This window comes from Homo sapiens, chromosome 5 (genome assembly GCF_000001405.40).
Source record: "Homo sapiens chromosome 5, GRCh38.p14 Primary Assembly".
NCBI lineage: Eukaryota > Metazoa > Chordata > Mammalia > Primates > Hominidae > Homo > Homo sapiens.
The window spans coordinates 19,555,223-19,577,609 of record NC_000005.10 but is presented as its reverse complement, the minus strand read 5'-3'; the positions used below and the strand labels follow the sequence as shown (position 1 = coordinate 19,577,609).

Here is a 22,387-nt window from a genome sequence, read left to right as displayed (position 1 = left end):
TCATTATCTTAATCAGGTGTGGGTGAAACTCTAGATAGTTTGAATCCTAGCATGAAAATCTTCATCTGTGGACCTGTGAAATTAGAAAACAAATTATCCTTATCTAAAATACAATGGTAGGAGAGGCATAAGATAACAGTTATAAACACTGACATTCCAACAGGGGGAAAATGGAAGAAATAAAAAAGTCACAAGTTCCAAATATGTTTAAAACCCAGCATGGAAAATTCCATTAGGTTTCTTTTTTCCTAAGTTTTATTTAATATTTAATTGACAGAAAATAATTATATATATTTATGATGTACAATGTGATTGGTACATGTCTGTTACTTCAAATATTTATCATTTACATGTGGTGAGAACATTTAAAATTCTCTCTTTTAGATATTTTGAATGGTACAATGCATTATTATTAAGTGTAGTCACTGTGCTGTATATGGAACACCAGAACTGATTCCTCCTACCTAACTGTAACATTGTACCCATTAACCAATGTCTCCCCTTTTCCTACTCACCTCTCTATTCCCAGCCTCTGGTAACAACCATTCTACTTTCTACTTAAATGAGTTTGACTTTAGATTCCATATGTAACTAAGATCATATGGTATTTGTCTGTCTGTGCCTGGCTTATTTCACTAAACATAATGTTCTCTACGTTCACACATGTTGTTACAAATGACAGAATCTTTTTTTAAGTAACAGACTAAATAGTATTCCACTGTGTATCTACACCACAATTTTTTAAAATCCTTTTATTCGTGGATGAATACTTTGTTTTTTTCCATATCTTGTCTAATGTGAGTAATGCTGCAATTAATATAAGGGTGCAGCCATGTCTTTGGGATACTGATGTCAGTTCCTTTGGCTATATACCCAGTCAGGGGATTGCTGGATCCTATGGGAATTCTACTTTCAGTTTTTTGAGGAACCTTCATACTTTTTTCCAAAATGGCTGTACTAATTTACAAAACCACAGTCCTGTGTTTCCTTTTCTCCACATCCTTGCCAATACTTGTTATCGTTCATGTTTTTGATGATAGCCACTGTAAAAGGCATGAGATGATATTTCACTGTGGTTTTAATTTGGCACTTTTCTGATATTTAGAGATATTGAGGAATTTTTCATATATATGTTGCTCAGTTGTATGTCATTTTTTGAGAAATATCTATTAAGTGATTTGCCCATTTTTTGAATAGAGTGATTTGTATTTTTTTTTTGAGTAGTTTGAGTTCCTTCATTATTTTGGATATTGGCCCTTATCCGATGTACAATTTTCAAATATTTTCTTCAAATCATGTATTATCTCTTCATTCTATTACTTGATTTCTTTGCTATGAAGAAGCTCTTTAGTTTGATCATTCCCACTTGTCTATTTTTGCTTACTTTGCCTATTTTTTTTAGTTATAGACAAGTAATCTCAGCCTAGAACAATGTCATGAAGGTTTCCCCTCAATTTCTTCTTCTAGTAGATTTATCGTTTTAGGTCTTACATTGTCTTTAATCCATTTTGAGCTGATTCTTGTAAGGCTCAATACTTTCCTCTCTGAGTCTGTAGCTCTGCTTGCCACTGCCCCTACGGGTACTTTGCATAAAGTACCCAAAGTCTTCTATGTTTCCCCTGGAAGAAATCTTCATCACCTATAACTGCAAAATTATGATTTCTGGACATTAAACCTAGAGTTTCATCCTGCAAGTGGTTGAATTACAATATAAATTGAGTGTCCAATCATGTAGGGGTATCTTTCTTCTGGGGCAGGCTAGGGCAGCCACAAAAACTGAAAAAAGTGAGGAATGGATTGTCTAGAGTTCCCAGAGAGGGTGTGGTTCTGCCACATTTCTGACTTAGTGACTTCAGAACTTCAAGGTAATTTCTGTTGTTACAACCCAACCTGTTTGTGGCAATTTGTTATGTCATCCCTAGGAAACGAATATAGTAGGATTAACAGAAAATAATAAGCCAATACAAATATTAAGCAACATTAAGCAGCTTCATTTCTCAGCACCCACAGGACAATTCTAAGCACCATTCCAGTAAAACAAAACACATTGCAAATGGGATGATTCCAGGAATGCTCAGATAGTTGAGGGATAGACAAATAATTATGCTAGACTGAACCATATGAAATGATCTTTTGTATATGTCATCATACATTTTTGATATCAGCAATTTCATATGAGTTAAACTAACTTTTGAAAAAGGACAGGAGTTGTGAATACATACCCATGTTATACTTGCTGGTAGTTTCTCTCTTCCCTACCAAGTGAGTTTGATACCAACCACCATCATCACCATGGTGAATGTTGGAATATGAATGCATGCTAATTAGCATTGTCAAATAAAGTACAGGACATCTAATTACATTCTAATTTTAAATAACCAATAAATTTTTCTACAACTATGTTTCTTGTGATAAATGACAATTAATATACTAAAAACCCTACAGTTTATCCTAAATTTAAATGTAACTGGGCATCCAGTAGTTTAAATGATTGAATTTGGCAACACTGAAAATAGCACTCATTAAGTATGAGCATCAGTGATATGGTTTGTTTTTTGTTTTGTTTTGTTTTGTTTTTTGTCTGACTCTGTCACCCAGGCTGGAGTGCGGTGGCATGATCTCGGCTCACTGCAACCTCCACCTCCTGGGTTCAAGCGATTCTCCTGCCTCAGCCTCCCGAGTAGCTGGGACTACAGGCGTGCACAACCACACCCGGCTAATTTTTGTATTTTTAGTAAAGACAGGGTGTCACCGTGTTAGCCACGATGGTCGACCTCCTGACCTCGTGATCCGCCCACCTCGGCCTCCCAAAGTGCTGGGATTACAAGCATGAGGCACCGTGCCTCACCTGGGATTTTTTTTTTTAACTAAGAAAGCGTGGAAGACAACTTTAATAGTTTACTCAACTATTTAAAAGGTGTGGAAGATGGGTACTTGAGTAGTTTTCCCAGAGTTACAGTAATAGAAAAATAATCACTATAATACTAATACTATAAATACCATTTTTTTTGGGTAAAACCAAATAATACAATAATTTCTATTATATATATAACTCTAAAATATCCAGGCATAAATAAATGAGTATAATTTTCTCACAGTTTCCCTGTACCGGCAATTCAGCCTCACCAGCTTTTCTTCACAAATGAGGTTGTTAAAATATTTCCAGTTGCGTTAATTCAACTGCTTCTAAATTCCTGTCCCAACCTAAAATAATCTACTCATTTTTTTCATGGCTCCACATGGTTTCCATCCATCCGTCAGTTCTGGCAAAGAAGTCCCTCAAAATGTTTACCCCCACCCTGGAGTAGTAAAATATATATTAGATGATCGTCAACCTGAAACCATATGTCCACAGAAACAGCCTGCACCGTAGCAGTAGGTAGGTTAGTATTGAGGCAAATGGCATCTAACTTGCCAGGGGACCTGCTAAGAAATGGAACAAGAGATGTGTGTCATCTTGGATGCAGAGCTTGATAATAATATCAGATAGGACGGGAGGTGGCCCAAATCCCTCCACAAATTTCATTGAAAAGTCCAAAAGATGTGAAAGCCAAAAATAATAAATAAGTGGAGGTGATTGTTTTAAAATCCAGTGTTATTGTGAGAAAGAAATGTTAAGCATTCCTAGAAAAGTATGTAACTCTGATTTTTAGTTCTAAGGTCTTAAATACCCATATTCAGTGAGAAGAACCTTAGACATCATCAAGCCTTCCACATGCAGCAAGTTAACTCCAAAAATTATAGACATTGATCTAAAACTAACAGTAAACTTTCCAGGTATTCGTATTTCCATGAGCAGGATGCACGATTCTGACTGTCCAGCTCTTATAAGCCAAGAGGGACCATTTTTGTCCACCCAGTTGCTGATAGGCAGCAAGTATGTACCATTTCTAGGACGAGTTATTTAAATTTTGATGGGGCTTATTGATAAATTAGTCATAGGCAAATTCTCACTTGTTAATGTAAAGGAGGAAGGATTCAAGGAAAGAAAAAGTTTAATGTGTGGATCCAATTAAGAGTATGCAACTCCTCGGCCGGGCATGGTGGCTTACGCCTGCAATCCCAGCACTTTGGGAGGCCTAGGTGGGTGGATCACGAGGTCAGGAGATCGAGACCATCCTGGCTAACACGGTGAAACCGCGTCTCTACTAAAAATACAAAAAATTAGCCGGGCGTGGCGGCAGGCGCCTGTAGTTCCAGCTACTCGGGAGGCTGAGGCAGGAGAATGGCTTGAACCCGGGAGACGGAGCTTGCAGTGAGCCGAGATCTCACCACTGCACTCCAGCCTGGGTGACAGAGAGAGACTCCGTCTCAAAAAAAAAAAAGAGTATGCAACTCCTCAAACAAGATAGGTATTAGTTATTTTGGCAATTTATTTCTAGTGTGATAGGTCATAAACTTCAGAAGCAACTCCTTGAAAAATATATAATCTGAAATTCATAATGTTTGTGTCATATATAAATGCATGTGTATTGTATATATGATCAACTTCTGATAATTTGAATTTTTTAAGATATAAAGATACATATTTTTTTGGAAACTGGTAAAATATTGTAGTGGCTTATCCTCATCAATGTCCCTGTGACCCTAGTTTTCTAGGTTCTTAATATATGGTTTGGAAATGAAATGATATTTTGCCTTTTGTGTAATCTCCAACCCCTGGGAAGGCCAATTTTCCAAGGCAATTCAGAAAAATTGGGGAACTTATTATAAGTATTATAGTACTGATCATTCTGTTTACAGGATCCTGATAAGGATCCTCTTTCTAGTTAGCTTTTGCTTGGTTGCTATGAACTGAAGGGATGTTTCTTCCCTCAAAATTCATATGTTGAAATCTAATCCCCAGTGTGATATGATGGTATTTGGAGGTGAGGTCTTTGGTACATAATTAGGTAATTAGAGCGAAACCTTCATGAATGGGATTTGTGTCTTTATAAGAAGAGACAAGGGAGAGATGGTTTCTCTGTTGTGTGAGGATACAGCAAGTAAGAGGCCGTCTGTAAACCAGAAAGAGGATGCCTACCAGACACCAGCTCTGAAAGGAACGTTGATGTTGGCTTAAGCCACCCAGTGTATGGTATTCTGTTATAGCAACCTGAATTGACTATGATATTGACCCTTAATGTAAAGGACAATGCCTCAATTTCTCTGCAGGGAATGACCATTCTGTTCCTGCCAAAAAAAGACACTTTGAGATTGAAGCAGGCTTGTACAAAATCAGTGGCATAAATAGAAATGAAAATTCTCTATTCTGCTGTTTCTCACAGATCTTTAACAGGAAGACCAGCATCAGTGGATACTTCATCCAGTTTAAAATGGAAGACTGGTCTCCGAATCACCTTCACTCACCTCACCATGGGAGCTTTTAACTTTTAAAACTACATCCGTTCATCTTAGTTTCACACAGCCTTTTATATCAATCATGCTAAACACTTTCCAAATGTTTAGTTCTTATCTGAAAAAGCACTTCCTCTTGAAAACATTACCTAGCAGTCCTCACACATTCCTGAATCGGAGTTTGTATTCCTCCTATTGATGTCCATAACACCAAATACATATTATTGCACTAAATACAAAATGCTGAGGTTCCATTTATGCCTTAGATGTTATTATTAAAATAATCTTCATAGTTCGTTTTAGAACAAAGCTAGAATGACTTATCTCTCTCTCAATTATTTTATTCTAAAAAGGAAAAAATAATGCATATTTGAAAAGTAATGAAAGTCATAATATGACTTTTTTTATAAAAGTCATAATCTTATTTTTTTTCCCCACAGCCACTGAACTATGAGAAAAAGAAGTCATATACCCTCAACATAGAAGGAGCAAATACACATCTTGATTTTCGCTTTTCTCACTTGGGTCCTTTTAAAGATGCTACTATGCTGAAGATCATTGTTGGGGATGTAGATGAACCACCACTATTTTCCATGCCTTCCTACCTCATGGAAGTCTACGAAAATGCCAAGATTGGGACCGTCGTTGGTACAGTTTTGGCACAAGATCCTGACAGTACTAACAGCTTAGTAAGGTATGGCATGCTTCAATCGTTTAGACATAGAAAGATTTTTATTGCCTCTCACATTAATTAAACTTGAATAAAATTACACTTAAAATGTTTTATTTCTACGTTGTTTTCTACGAATATAATTAAATTATAATATTAATTGATTTTAACTGTGTAGCTTAGCAGTTGGATTTTTGTCACATTAAGAACATATTTTGCTATCTCCATGAATGTCTTATTGACCACATGTTAATTTTTTCATTTGACTTAATGGATGTGAGCGTAATTGATTGAGAAAATTGTTGTAGAGCTATTTAATCACAAACTAGAGAATCTATTGCTCCCTTAATGATAGGAAGTATAGATATAGTACAAAGCGTGATGATTTGGGGATAACACTCATCTCTAACTGACTCTGGTTCCTTTGGTCAGCCTAGCTGTGTGGCTTTCTCTTTATATGTAAAAGTGGAAAAATAATGTCTGTGTCTCAGAGCTATCGTGAGGATGCATGAAGCAATGTGCGTAAAGCACTCAGCAAAGTGGCCTGCACCTAGTAGTCACTCAATAAATGCTAACTTGTGAAAGACAGTATAGGGTGCAAAAAACTCTGAATACAGGAAAATCAGCGTGGGAACTCTATTGTGTCTGCTTACTAGCAGAGTGATCTTTTACAGTCATTCAGTCATGTGGAATCTCAAATTCCAAATATGTGAACAAAGAATAATAATGCTACATAAATATGTTGATAGGATTTAGTTAGATTAAAGGACTTAACACATTGCCCAGCATATAATAAGTGCTCGCTAAATAATACTTGTATTAGTTTAGTACATCATGCTGGAGAGATAATCAAAGCTTTTTTGCATTATCAAAGGAGTTTTTTTGTGTCCCTCATTTATAACAAAATCAGAAAGGCTGCATACATGTGTAAAACTTCTTGGATATCCTGTATTTATACTCATGGAAATCCTGTCTCTAGAAAGGTTAAAATCCTTAATAATCTTTCTAATTTTTACCATGAAATCCTTGGTTTTCATTCACTTAACAAAAGCTAATATACTAAATAGTCTCCTCAGTATCTGTGGGATATTTGTAAAAGCTCTGAATTTTCTTTTTCATAAGCATGACTGTTTCAGTTAAAAATAATTCCCCTAGCACCCATGCATGTAGTGAAGCAATTTTCTGTGCACAAATGTAGATATTCAACAATCCTACTCCATCTGCAAGTATAGAAACTGTATCCTGTCACACTAACAGCAAGAGCTAGATAATGCTTGAAGAAGGAGGATCGGTAAACTATGCAAAATAATATGCATAAACCAAGTTACAGAAATCAGTCTCTAACTAAGGAATAGAAATCAAAGTTAACATGTTTCATTGCTTAACCAAAGGAAAGCCCGTTTTGCTTCAACATTCCATAGAATGCCATGTTTTTAATTATACTTTTGACCCCAAACAGTAAGTATGATTTGTTCAGGTTTAAAAAAAAATGTAGCACCATAAAAGATCTGTACAAATGAGGCTTTCTTTACCAAAAGCACCCAATATCTTTTGGGAATAGAGATAGGTCATGATATAAGTTTGCTGTGAAAATATTAAATAAACATTGACAATATTTTTTTAAAGGTGATACTAATGATAATTTCTGTAATTATTTAAAAAAACAGGAAGTGCAACCATTAGTTTAATTTATTTTTTATTAATACAAAAAAGTTGTACATTTGGTGGGATACACGTGATAATTTGACATATTCATATGATCAAATCAGGGTAGTTGTGAAATTCATCACCTTAAATATGTATCGTTTCTTTACACTGAGAACATTCAAATCATTATCTTCTAGCTGTTTTAAAATGTACAATCCAGTGGGTACCAATATGTACATTTAGGTGGAAGAAATAGAACCTAGTGTTTGATAGATCAGTAGGGTGACTATAGCAATCACTCTTAGACTATGTTTTAATCACTTGTAACGTGCGATATTATAGTAGTCCTCATGATAAAGAATTATACATGTGCACACACACATAGACACACATACACACAGCATCTTGAACTCCAGGGAAGAAATAGACTTGGAAAAAATATGCATTGTGTATCATGCATAATTCTCCACAGAAAGAGAATGAAATACCTGGGCCCTGTGGCCCAGCCAAGTTGACATGTACAATTAACCATCACACTGTGTTTAGTGTAATAATGGTCTGAGGGAGGTGTGCATGGAGAATGTATTCCAAAACTTTCTGGAGGCAATGAGCTGAAGAAAATTGAATTGAGGCTCATAAACCAATTAGAAATTAGAGAAATGAAGAATGAAGGAAAGAATTGTAGTTTGCTGTACATGAGGAGCTTGGGTTACCTGTGGGAATAGCAAGTAATGAGATTGGAGAGATAGATTAGATACAGATCATGAAGAGGCTTTCTGCAATGGTAAGGTCTTTGAAATTAATCCTGGCAGCAATGCCAATAGGGAGAGAAATGAGAGGAACTTTGATAATTATAACCAAAACAATGATAGGAAAATTTGCATTTCAAAATAAACAATATTTAAAATCAAGTGAAAGGTAGGCCAAGGGGGAGAAATTGAGGTCAAGGACAAAGATGTTTTAGCATTATTCTATATGTTCCAACATATATGAAAACACCCCTTCCCACATAGGACTGTGATTCTCACATGGGGGCAAAATCCACCCCCCTGCAAGGGACAGTTGAAAATGTCTGGAGAGATATCTAGTTATTACATCTTGGGATAGTGTCTTAGTCACTTTACGCTGCTATAACAAATTACCTTCGACTGTGTGGTATAAACAAAAAACATTTATTTCTCACAGTTCTAGAGGCTGGGAAGTCCAAGATCAAAGGGCCAGCCTATCTGGTATCTGGTGTGTGTCTGATTCCTGGTTTGCAGAGAGCCCTCTTCTCCCTATATTTTCACATAGTGAAGAGCAGAAAGAAAGAAAGCAAACTCTTCCATTTCTTTTTACGAGAGCACACATCACACAATGAATGTCCCACCAATTTTCTCCTTTAGTCAGTTTGGCTGCTAAGAAGAATTATCATAGTCTTGGTGGCTTATAAAAAACTGCAATTTATTTATCACAGTTCTTGAGTCTGAGAGTCTGAGATTAGGTTGCCAGAATTGTCGGGTTGTGCTAAGTGCTCTCTTCTGGATTGCAGACTACCAACGTCTCGTATTCTCACATCTTGGAAAAAGGTAGCTAGCTCCAAGCTCCTCTTGTAAAGGCACTAATCCATTCATGACAGTTCCATTTTCATGACCTCATAATCACCTCCAGAAGTTTGTACCTCCACATGCCATTACATCGTGGATTACTGTTTACTATACGAATTTGGGGGAGGGGGATAAAAGCATTCAGCTTGTAGCAGGTAGGGTGTTACTGGCATCTAGGGGTGGAAGTCATGGATGGTGCTAAACATTCTGAAACTCACAGGACAACTCCCACAGAAATTATCTGGCCCCAAGTCAATAGTGCTAATGTTGAGAAAACCTGACATAGACTAAAACAAACTGACTGGCAAATTGGTAGAACTGGAGTACTAATTGTATTCATGGGAAGAAATTTTGAAAAGATATTTCAGAGATAGGTGTCTATATATACAAATCATATACATGAATAGTCATGTGAATGTTTCAATGTGTACTTTCAATCAATTAAAATATGTCACTAATTGTCTCAGTAATTGTCCTATATCACTGAGAGCACTTAAATGAACACTCATATGAAACATGCACTCTCCTGGTTGTTGGGATGCAAAGATGATTGGTACATAGTTTCCAAATGCTAAGAAGGGAAGCAGAAATCTATTAGCATATGAAATATTCTTTCTGCTTTGTTTTGGTTAGAGAACTAAAATGAATCCTGCTAAAGCTGCCTTAAAATAATTAGACTCCATAGCTGCTGTTTGGGGACATAATTTACATAATATTTATTCTTGATTTTAATAAAAATGTGTCATTCACATGGGCCTCTGGGTGCAAATAGTGAATAAAAAAACAGAAAACATTAACAAAAACAAAAGCAAGCCTATACTTCCACCTTTCTCAGGGACCAAATGTTTGTACTAATTAAGGAAAAGCACATTGAAAAGATGTACTTTGCAATGTGCCCTGAAATGCAATCAACTCCAAGTTTGTAGAATTGGTAATGAAAGGGAGTTTGAGCTTTGCAAGCATTTGTGAAAAGCTTCCTGACTTCGGTCTTTTGTATTTTACTATTGTACTTTTGTACTTCAGTCTTTGTATTTTACCATTGTCCTTTTATAAATTATTAGTAAGACTCTTCAGATTTCATAGAGAATATAATGTCTAGGTTTTGTCTGTTTCAACTCTAAACAAGATGTGTAATTTGCAGCAATATAAAGTATATATAAAATGTAAAATAAATTATTATCTAGTGTAGTCACCATGTCAGGCTATCAAATACTAGCTGTTGTTCCTTCTAACTACATTTTTTACCCAGTAATCATCCCCAATTACCTGCCCCACCACCACTACCCTTCCTAGCCTCTGACAACCATTATTCTACCCCCTATCTCCTTGGGTTCAATTGTTCTAATTTTAGCTCCTACATATGAGTAACAACATGTGAAGTTTGTCTTTCTGTGCCTGGCTTATTTCACTTAACATAATGTCCTGCAGTTCTATCTATGTTGCAAATGATAGAATCTTATTCTATTTTATGGCTGAATTACTGTATTGTGCATATGTACCACATTTTCTTTATCCATTCATCTATTGATGGACACTTAGGTTGCTTTCAAATCTTGGCTGTTGTGATTAGTGCTGCAGTGAATATGGAGTGCAGATATCTCTTCAGTGTACTGGTTTCCTTTCTGATATGGTTTGGCTGTGTCCTCACCCAAGTCTCATCTTGAATTGTATCTCCCATAATTCCCACGTGTTGTGATAGGGACCTGGTGGGAGATAATTGAATCGTGGGGGCGGTTTCCTCCATAGTGTTCTCGTGGTAGTGAATAAGTCTCACAAGATATGATGGTTTTATAAGGGGTTTCACCTTTCACTTGGCTCTCATTCTTTCTTGTCTGCCCCCACGCAAGACGTGCCTTTTGCCTTCCACCATGATTGTGAGGCCTCCCCAGCCACGTGTGAATCCATTAAACCTCTTTTTCTTTATAAATTACCCAGTTTCAAGTATGTCTTTATCAGCAGCATAAAAACGGACTAATACATTTTCTTTTTCATATAAACATAGCAGCAGGATTGCTGCATCATAGGGAGCTCTATGTTTAGCTTTTAAGAAACTGTCAAACTGTTCTCCATAGTGGTTGTACTAATTTACGTTCCCACCAACAGGATATGGGGGTTCCCTTTTCTCCACATCCTTTGCCATCATTTGTTATTGCCTGTAATTTTGATATAAGCCATTTTAACTGGGGTGAGATGATTTCTCATTGTAGTTTTGATAGGCATTTCTATGATGATCAGTGATGTTAAGCACCTTTTTATATGTCTGTTTGCTATTTGTATGTCATCTTTTGAGAAATGTCTATTCAGATATTTTGCCCATTTTTTATTCAGATTATTAGATTTTTTTTTTCTATAGATTTGTTTGAGCTTCAATTATATTCCGGTTATTAATCCCTGGTCATATGGATAATCTGAAAATATTTTCTTTCATTTTGTGGGTTGTCGCTTTCCATTGTTGATTGTTTTCTTTGATGTGCAGAAGCTTTTTAACTCGATGTGATCCCATTTATCTATTTTTTATTTGGTTGACTGTGCTTGCAGCATATTACTCAAGAAATCTTTGTTCAGATGAATGTCCAGCAGAGTTTTCCCAACGTACTCTCTTCAGTTTCACAGTGTGAGTTCATAGACTTAAGTTTTAATACATTTTGAATTGATTTTTGCATATAGCTAGAGATGGGGGTCTGGTTTCAATTATGTGTATATGGATATGCAGTTTTCCCAGCACCACTGAAGAGTCATTTATTGTAGTTATTGCAGACTGGGCTTATTTGTGCCTGTCATTCTTGGGGACTCTTCCAAGTACTCAAAGGGGATTAATTGGGTGTTATTATCTAAGTCTTTGGTCATTGCAGCTATATCTGCATTAGGGGGTACCCCAAGCCCAGTAATGCTGTGACTCTGAAGACTTGTGGAGGTACTGCTGTAGTGGTCTTGGGTAAAATCTAAGATAATTCCCTGGATTACTAGGCAAAGACTCTTGTTCTCTTCCCTTACATTCCCCTAAACAAATGGAGTTTCTCTGTCCATGTTGATCTGCCTGGAGCTCAGCAGAGGAGTGACATAAGCATCACTGTAGCCACCAATACCAAGACTGCACTGGGTCATAACTGAAATGAACATATCACTGGATCTCACCCAAGACCATTGATTACTAATGCCTGGCTACTACTGATATTCCCTTAAGGCCCAGGGCTCTTCAGTTAGCAAGGAGTGAATCCAGCCAGGATTGTGTCCTTCCCCTCGATGTTGCCTCTCATGTTCCACAGCCCAGGGCAGGTCTAGAAATGCTGTCCAGGAGCCACAGCCTGGATTCGAGAACCTTAGGAATCTACTTGGTGCTCTATTCTACTGTGGCTGAGCTGACACCCCAGCCACAAGACAAAGTTCTTCCCGCTCTTCCCTCTTCTTTTCTCAAGCAGGAGTTTCTCCCCATGTGGTATGTACTGCCTGGATACCACCCATCTTCACTCAAGGCCCATGGGCTCTTCTGTCAGCTTGTGCTGAACACTGCCTGGACTGAGTCTCTTCCTTCAGGGCAGTTAGCTCCACTCTAGCCCAGGGCAGGTTTAGAACTTCTCTCCTCTGAGCCAACGCCTGGAATCAGGGACCCCAGGAGCCTGCTTGATGCTCCACCCCTCTGTGGTCAAGCTGGTATCCAAGCTGCAAGACAAACTCCCCTTTATACTTCCCTTTCCCGTCCTTGAGCAGGAAGAGTCTCTCCCCATAGCCACCATATCTGTTAATACCCTGGGTTACACCTGAGTCTCATTCTCATCAAAAGCCCACGATGAGTAATGTCTGGCTACAGTTGATGCTTACTCAAGGTCCAAGGGATCTTTAGTAAGGAGGTCATGAATTCCACCAGGACTGGGTTCTTCCCTTCAAGGCAGCAGGTTCCCTTCTGGCCCAGGTGTATCTAAAAATGTTGTCTGAGAGCTAGGGCCTCAGGATTCTGTCTGCTGCCCTATTCTACTGTGGCTGAACTTGTATCCAAGTTGCAAGATGAAGTCCTTTTTACTCCTTCCTCACTTCTACTCAAGTGGAAGGAAGGGATCTCTCCCAGAGCTGCAAGCTGCACTGCCTGCGGTTGGGGGAGGAGTGGCAGAAGCACTCCCTTGACCACGCCAGCTGGCTTCTCACTATGTCACCTGCACTCCAGATCCACTGGCTCCAAGCCCAGCACATCACCAAGGCTTACTCAGGAATTACAGTCCTTCTGGCCCAGACTGCCTTTCAAGTTCATTAAGGACCCTGGAGTGCTTTAGCCCACAGTGGTGGGGCTAGCCAGAACTCAGGTTTTGACCACTGGGTTGAGTTATTTCTCTCTAGCCTGTGCTGGTCTAAAGGCTTACTCCATAGGTTGCAGGATGTGTTCTGTCACTTTTTGCTTTCTGCCATAACAAGGAAGTAGTGACTTCCAATGCAAAGTCTCATAATCATTGTGTTCTCCCTCCCCAAAGTGCACAGATTCTCTCTTTGTGCTCTGCTGCCACTACCAGGGTATGAGGGAGGGGTTGTGTAAGCCATTCAAGGCTGTCTTTCCTGTGCTCTTCAGTGCCCCATTCATTAATATAGTGTTAATACCAAGTACTGTGATCAGTCACCTGATTTTTAGTCCTTATGAAGGTGTTTCATGGAAAGTTCTTCAATTCAGTGTTCCTGCAGGGTTGACAATCTTTGTAGGGTTCTATACTGCTATCTTGCTCCACCTTCTTCTCCAATCATCACCTTTTTGAAAAAATAAAATTAGAGCCTGGCTGTTTACCAGCAGTGAAGCCTTTCATTTAAACAGGCTACACCATTTGCTCACAAATTACAAATAGAATTCAGGAATTTCACAGATTAGCTACTGAGAGATGAGCAATCCCATGTTGAAAACAAGAAGCTAGAGAGCTTTTGGGAATGTAGCTTTATGACACATGACTGTTAAATTGTTACCATTCATTGTCTTCTGTCTGTTGGCCATGGACCTTATATATCATTCCATAAACTGTTTCACAACACTGAAACTGTCTGTATTATTGATTCCATTCTATAGATGAAGAAACTAAAGTTCAAAAAATTAACTAACTTGATTCTGTTTTCAGTGATAACATGACATTTTAATGCAAATCCAATTTTGCTTTACTCTGAAAACTTTCTTTTTGTAGCCCAATATGCTCCCTATTATACTATAACTAATAAAAAATAAAAACAAACAAACAAAATGACTACATTTACAAAAGTCAAGTATCAAAAATTAGAAACAAATGTATATTATAAATGCTCAGAGAGCCATTAAGCAAATGCCATTACCTGGGGCCTTCCCTTTTATGGGTTTACTCCACACATTAGAAAAGGGGATGCTAACTGGCAAGTCTTTTTTTAACTTTAGCATCTTAGTAATAAACTTGCTCTTAATTTTATAGTTTCTCCGTATTGTAGTTAAAGATGTACATTACTTGATTTAGTATAAAAAAAGTTGGAGTCCCTGAATCAACATTTCTTATATGATGAAAAGCTTTAGCAGCTGAATTATGTGAATGAGTATATGCCCCATCTTTCCTTCTTTTGCATCTTGATTTATAACCTGAATTTATCTATGCATTTACTTCTTGTTGAGAATTTGAATGTTTTCTTTGAATGATAACTTTAAGGAAATAAATGATTAAATATTTCGCATAATTGTTTCAAATGCTTATGATGGCACTACCTATAAAATAAACTATAGCCCAAATGTATTGTGAACATATTGGAAACTTAGCCAGATTTTAAAATATTTTTGCAACATAAGGGATAATTTTAAAGAAATGGATGCAAAGTATTAAAAGTATTTTCTCAGCCTATCCAGAGATTTATTGTGACCTTGGTGAGGTGAATTTATTGGTAAATAATGGTACAGTGAATACACTGGAAGCATTCACTTCTTTTTGTTTTTTGTTTGCTTTCTTCTCTACTTTTGAAATTTTCACATAATTGATGATGAGTTGGATTAGAAATACCAAATTATTTTGGATGTTATAACAGCAAAAAAAAGAGAGAGATTTTAAAATAATGATAAGGCCTTTTGGCAAAGTTCAAGAGGGAAAGTGAAAAGAAATTATTAAGAGTTTGAATGCAGGATTTAAACTTTTGAAAACAAAGATGAAAAATAACCAGTAAATATGTTTTAAACTGTGTTCATGTTAAAGGTATCTAATATACAAGAACCTTTTTCATAGACCAAATTTAGTTGTAAAAGTTTTCCTTATTGATAACATAAAATTATTTCAGTGTTCTCTTCATGGCAATCCTCAGTGTATCATCAAAAACACTCAGCCATTGTGTTCTGATCCAAAGGAAACAGTCCATTATGGACATTTAATGCAAATCCAGTAGAGACAGACAGAAAGCAAATTCTTGCTTAAAATCAAAAGTCTTTGTCTACAACCTGTATTTTGAAATTGTATCACATTATATATTGCTGATATTAGAACACTGAGATTGATTAATGGTTTATTGTTCAATGTCATAAACACATGATACTTGAGAACTCAGGGGGACATAAAGATGACTAAGACAACTCTATTCTTTCATAGATGAACATATCTTTAGACTTTGAAGGCTGAATGGTCCAAAAGCACATAGCTAAAGATATTATCTGATATAAAATGATTTTTTCCCCTAGGCCAAACATAATTATAACACATTTAGTCATACAACTACTTGTTTTCTGTTTTGGCCTATTTAAAAAAAATTCAATAGGTTTTTGGGGAACAAGTGATGTTTGGTTACATGAATATGTTATTTAGTGGTGATTTTTAATATTTTGGTGCACCCATCACCTGATCAGTATACACTGAACCCAATGTGTAGTGTTTATTCCTCACCCTCACACCCTTTCCCCCAAGTCCCCAAAGTCCATTGTATCATTCTTGTGCCTTTGCATCCTCATAGCTTAGCTCCCACTTATGAGTGAGAAAATACAATGTTTGGTTTTCCATTCCCGAGTTATTGAACTTAGAATAATGGTTTCCAATTCCATCCATGCTGTTGCAAATGCCATTATTTCATTCATTTTTGTGGCTGACTAGTATTCCATGGTTTATGTATACCACATTTTCTTTATCCCTACATTGACGGATGGGCATTTGGGCTGGTTCCCTATTTTTGCAATTATGAATTGTGCTGCTATAAACATACCTTCGCAGGTATCTTTTTTGTATAATGCCTTCTTTTCCTATGGGTAGATACCCAGGAGTGGGATTGCTGTTTCAAATGATAGATGTACTTTTAGTTCTGTAAGGAATCTCCACACTGTTTTCCGTAGTGGTTGTACTAGTTTGCACTCCCACCAACAATGTAAAAGTGCTCCCTTTTCACCACATCCATGCCAACATCTATTATTTATTGATTTTTTGATTATGGCCATTCTTGTAGAAGTGAGGTGGTATCACATTGTGATTTTGATTTGCAGTTCCCTGATAATTCGTGATGTTGAATTTTTTTCATCTGTTTATTGGCCATTTGGAATATCTTCTTTTGAGAATTATCTATTACTGTCCTTAGCCCACTTTTTGATGGGATTTTTTTTTCTTGCTGATTTGTTTAAGTTCCTTGTAGATTCTGGATATTAGTCCTTTATCAGATGTATAGATTGTGAAGATTTTCCCCCACTCAGTGGGTTGTCTGTTTACTCTACTGATTATTTCTTTTACTGTGCAGAACCTTTTTACTTTAATTAAGTTCCATCTATTTATCTTTGTTTTTGTTGTGTTTGCTTTTTGATTCTTGGTCATGAAGTCTTTGTCTAAGCCATTTTCTAGAAGGACTTTTCCAATGTTATCTTCTAGAAATTTTATGGTTTCAGGTTTTAGATTTAAGTCTTTGATCCATCTTGAGGTGAGTTTTGTATAAGGGTGAGAAATGAGGATCCAGTTTCATTCTTCTACCTGTGGCTTGCCAGTTATCCCAGTACAATTTGTTGAACTGGGTATCTTTTTCCCACTTTACATTTCTGTTTGCTTTGTCAAAGATCAGTTGGCTGTATTTGGCTTTATTTCTGGGTTATCTATTTTGTTCCTTTGGTCTATGTGCCTATTTTTTATACCAGTACCATGCTGTTTTGGTGACTATGGCCTTATAATATAATTTGAAGTCAGGTAATGTGATGCCTCCAGAATTTGTTCTTTTTGCTTAGTCTTGCTTTGGCTATGCAGGCTCTCTTTTGGTTCCATATGAATTTTAGGATTTTTTTTCTAGTTTTGTGAAGAATGATGGTGGTATTTTGTTAAGAACTGCATTGAATTTGTAGATTGCTTTTGGCAGTATGGCCATTTTTACAATATTGATTGACTCCATCTATGAGCATGGGATATGTTTCCATTTGTTTATGTTGTCTATGATGTATTTCAGCAGTGTTTTGTAGTTTTCCTTGTAGAGGTTTTTCTTCTTCTTGGTTAAATATATTCCTGAGTTTTTTTTTTGTTTGTTTTTGCAACTATTATAAAGGGGTTGAGTTCCTGATTTGATTTTCAGCTTGGTCACTATTAGTGTATAGCAGAGCTACTGATTTGTGCACATTATTTTTGTATCCTGAAACTTTTCTTAATTCATTTACCAGTTCTAGGAGCTTTTTGCATGAGTCTTTAGGATTTTCTAGGTATAGGATCATGTCATCACCAAACAGCAACAATCTGACTTCATCATTATCAATTGGATGTCCTTTATTTCTTTCTCTCGTTTGACTGCTCTGGCTAGGACTTCTGCTACTTGAAGAGAAGTGTTAAGAGTAAACATCCTTGACTTGTTCCAATTCTCAGGGGGAATGCTTTTAACTTTACCCTGTTGGCTGTGGGTTTGTCATAGATGGCTTTTATTACCTTAAGGTATGCCCCTTCTTTGGTGTTTTTGATGAGTGTTTTAACCATAAAAGGATGCTGGATTTTGTTCAAAAGCTTTTACTGCATCTATTGAGATAATCATGTGATTTTTATTTTTAATTCTGTTTATGTGGTGTACCACATTTATTGACTCGTGGATATTAAACCATACCTGCATCCCTGCTATGAAACCTACTCGATCATGGTGGATTATCTTTTTGATATGCTGTCAAATTCTGTTAGACAGTATTTTGTTGAAGATTTTTTCATATATGTTCATCAGGGTCTGTAACACAGCTGAAGAAAAGAAATAACAAAGATCTGAGCAGAACTAAATTAAATTGAAACAAAAAACACACAGTACAATAGATAAATGAAACAAAAAGCTAGTTCTTTAAAAAGATAAATAAAAATGATAGAACATTAGTGAGATTAACCAAGAAGAGAAGCAAGAAGATCCAAACAAGCTCAATTAGAAATGCAACAGGAGATATTACAACTGATACCACAGACATACAAAAGAGAACTCTAGGCTACTGTGAACAACTTTGTTCATAGTAAACTAGAAAACCAAGAGGAGATGGATACATTCCTGGAAATATACAACTGTCCTAGATCGTGTTCATAAGGGTCTGATGCATATATGTTCATCCGGGTCTGTGTATTGGTCTGTAGTATTCTTTTTTTGTTATGTCCCCTTTTGGTTTTAGTATTAGAATGATACTGGCTTCATGGAATCACTTAGGGAAGATTTTCTCCTTCTCTGTCTTGTGGAATAGTGTCAATAGGATTGGTACCAATTTTTGCTTGAATGTCTAATATAATTCAGCCATGAATCTGTCTGGTCCTGGACTTTTTTTTGTTGTTGGTAACTTTTTAATTACCCTGTCAATCTCACTGCTTGTTATTTGTCTGTTCAGAGTTTATATTTTTTTCCTTGTTTAATCTAGGAGGGTTGTATATTTCCAGGAATTTATCCATCTACTCTTGGTTTTCTATTTTATGTGCATAAAGTTGTTCATAATAGCCTAGAATGCTCTTTTGTATGTCTGTGGTATCAGTTCTACTATCTCCTGTTTTATTTCTAATTGAGCTTTTTTGGATCTTGCTTCTCTTTTTAGTTAATCTCACTAATGATCTATCATTTTTATTTATCTTTTTAAAGAATTAACTTTTTGTTTCATTTATCTATTGTATTGTATGTTTTTTGTTTCAATTTCACTTAGTTCTGCTCTGATTTCGTTATTTATTTTCTTCTCCTGTGTTTGGGTGTGGTTTGTTCTTGTTTCTCTACTTCCTTGACATGTTACCTTAGATTGTCTATTTGTACCCTTTCAGACTTTTTGATGTAGGCATTTAATGCTGTGAACTTTCCACTTGGCACCACTTTTGCTGTATCCCAGAGGTTTTGATAGGTCATGTCACTATTGTCATTCAGTTCAAAAAATTTTTTAATTTCCATTTTCATTTCATTGTTGTCTCAATGATCATTCAGAAGCAGGTTGTTTAATTTCCATGTATTTGCATGGTTTTGAGGGTTCATTTTAGAGTTGATTTTCAATTTTATTCCAATATGGTTTGAGAGAGTACTTGATATAATTTTGATTTTCTTAAATTTGTTGAGAATTGTACTGTGGCCTATCATATTGTCTCTCTTGGAGAATGTTCCATGTGCTGATGAATAGAATGAATATTCTGCAGTTGATGGGTAGAATGTTCTTTAAAGATCTGTTAAGTCCATTTGTTCTAGGATATAATTTAAGTCTATTGTTTCTTTGTTGACTTTCTGTCTTCATGACCTGTCTAGTGCTGTCAGTGGAATATTGAAGTCCTCCACTATTGCTGTGTTGCTGTCTATCTCATTTCTTTGGTTTAGTAGTAACTGTTTTATATTTAACAAATTTGGGATCTGCAGTGTTAGGTGCATGTATATGTAGAATTGTGAATTTTTTTTTCTGTTGGACTAGTTCTTTTATCATTACATAAAGTCCCTCTGTCTTTTTTAACTGCTGTTGCTTTAAAGTTCATCTTCTCTGATATAAGAATAGCTACTCCTGCTTGCCTTTGGTGTCCATTTTCATGAAATATCTGTTTCCACCCCTTTATTTTAAGTATATTAGTCCTGTGTCAGGTGAGTCTCTTGAAGACAGCAGATACTTGGTTGGTGAGTTTTTATGCACTCTGCCATTCTGTATCTTTTAAGTGCAGCATTTCGGCCATTTACATTCAATGTTAGTATTGAGATGTAAGGTACTATTATATTCATTATACTATCTTTTGCCTGAATACCTTGGTTTATTTCATTGTGTTGTTGTTTTATAGGTCATTTGAAATTTATGCTTTAAGGAGATTCTATTTTGTTGTATTTTGAGAATTTGTTTCAATATTTAGATCTCCTTTTAGCAGTTCTTGTAGTGCTGGCTTGGTAGTGGTAAATTCTCTCAGCATTTGTTTGTCTGAAAAAGACTGTATTTTCCCTTCATTTATGAAACTTAGTTTTGCTGGATAAAAAATTCTTGACTGAGAAGTGTTTTGTTCAAGCAGGTTAATGATAGGACCTCAATTTCTTCTAGCTTGTAGGATTTCTCCTGAGAAATCTGTTAATCTGATACGTTTTCCTTTATAGATTACCTGGTGTTTTTGTTTGTTTGTTTTTCCACACATTTCTTAAGATCCTTTCCTTCATCTTGACATTAGATAACCTGATGACTATGTGCCTAGGAGATTATCTTTTTGTGATTAATTTCCCAGGTGTTCTTTGAGCTTCTTGTATTTGAATGTCTAGATCTCTAAGAAAGCTGGGGAAGTTTTCTGCAATTATTCCCTCAAATGTGTTTTCCAAACTCCTATATTTCTCTTCTTCCTTGGGAGCACCAATTGTTTTTATGTTTGTTCATTTAATATAATTCCAAACTTCTTGGAGGCTTTGCTCGTTTTTTAAATTTTTTTTTTCTTTTTCTTAGTTGGATTGGATTAATTTGAAAGCCTTGTCTTCAAGTTCTAAAGTTTTTTCTTCTATTTGTTCAATTCCATTGCTGAGACTTTCCAGTGCATTTTGCATTTCCCTAAGTATGTCATTGATTTCCAGAAGTTGTGATTGTTTTTTATTTATGCCGTCTATTCACTGGAGATTTTTCCATTCATATCCTGTATCATTATTTTGGATTTCTTTAAGTTGAACTTCACCTTTCTCTAGTGCTTCCTTGATTGCCTTAATAATCAATCTTCTGAAATCTTTTTCTGGCAATTCAGAGATTTAGTCTTGGTTTGGATCCATTGCTGATAATCTAGTGTGATCTTTTTGGGATGTTAAAGAACCTTATTTTGCCATGTTATCAGAATTATTTTTCTGGTCTCTTCTCATTTGGGTAGACTATGTCAGAGGGAAGATGTGTGACTCAGGCTGTTGTTCAGATTCTTTTCTCCCACAGGATGTTTCCTTGATGTGGTGTTCTTCCCTTTCCTCTAGGGATGGGGCTGCCTGAGAGTCAAACTTCAATTATTGTTATTTCTCCTCTAGCTCTAGCCACCCAGTGGAGCTACCAGGCTCTGGGCTGATACTGGGGAGTGTCTTCAAAAAGTCCTGTCATGTAACCCATCTTCAGGTCTCTCAGCTGTGGATACCAGCACCTACTCCATTATAGGTAGCAGGGGAGTGAAGTAGACTCTGTGAGGGTCCTTGGTTGCATTTTTGTTAAGTGTGCTGGTTTTGTGTTGGTTGGCCTCCAGCCAGGAGGTGGTGCTTTCAAGAGCACATCAGTTGCGATTGTATAGGGAGGATCAGGCAGTCAACAGAGCCATACGGCTCCCAAGAGATTATGTACTTTGTCCTGGGCTACCAGGGTAGGTACAGAAAGACCATCAGATGGGGGCACTGTTAGGCTTTTCTGAGCTCAGACTTTGGCAGGTCTTGCTGTGGCTGCTGTGGAGGATGGGGATGTGGTTCCCAGGCCAATGGAGTTATATTCCCAGGGGGATTATGGCTTTCTCTGCTGCATCACATAGCTCACCAGGGAAGTGGGGGAAGAGCCGGCAGCCCCAGGCCTTACCTTGTTCCCATGCAGCCCACAGCCCAAACAGCTGGTCTCACTCCCCTCATGTCCCACCCAACATCACCAAGTTTATTTCCAGGAAGCTGGTAACAGCTAAGAACTTGCCCCAGACTACAAGCCTCCCAGCTGAGAAAGCAAGCCAACTCACAATTCCTCAGCTATCCCATGGAGCCTGCAGCTGCAGTCCACCTCTTTCAAAGGGTCTGTGGATTCTCTTGGCTTTCCTGGTATGTTCCTGTGGTAGTTCTTGGAGCA

General features: G+C 36.8%; 1 protein-coding gene across 20 annotated transcripts in view; it reads left to right on the top strand.

Moving 5' to 3' along the window:
• The window catches only part of CDH18 (cadherin 18), a 1,104,418-nt gene that overhangs the window by 998,104 nt on the left and 83,927 nt on the right, over positions 1–22,387 (top strand). For all 20 annotated transcript variants that reach the window (XM_005248228.5, NM_001349562.2, NM_001349556.2 and 17 more), the window contains one exon: positions 5,778–6,031. In XM_005248228.5, coding sequence (XP_005248285.1) covers positions 5,778–6,031 — 254 coding nt within the window. The remainder of the gene's footprint in view (positions 1–5,777; positions 6,032–22,387) is intronic.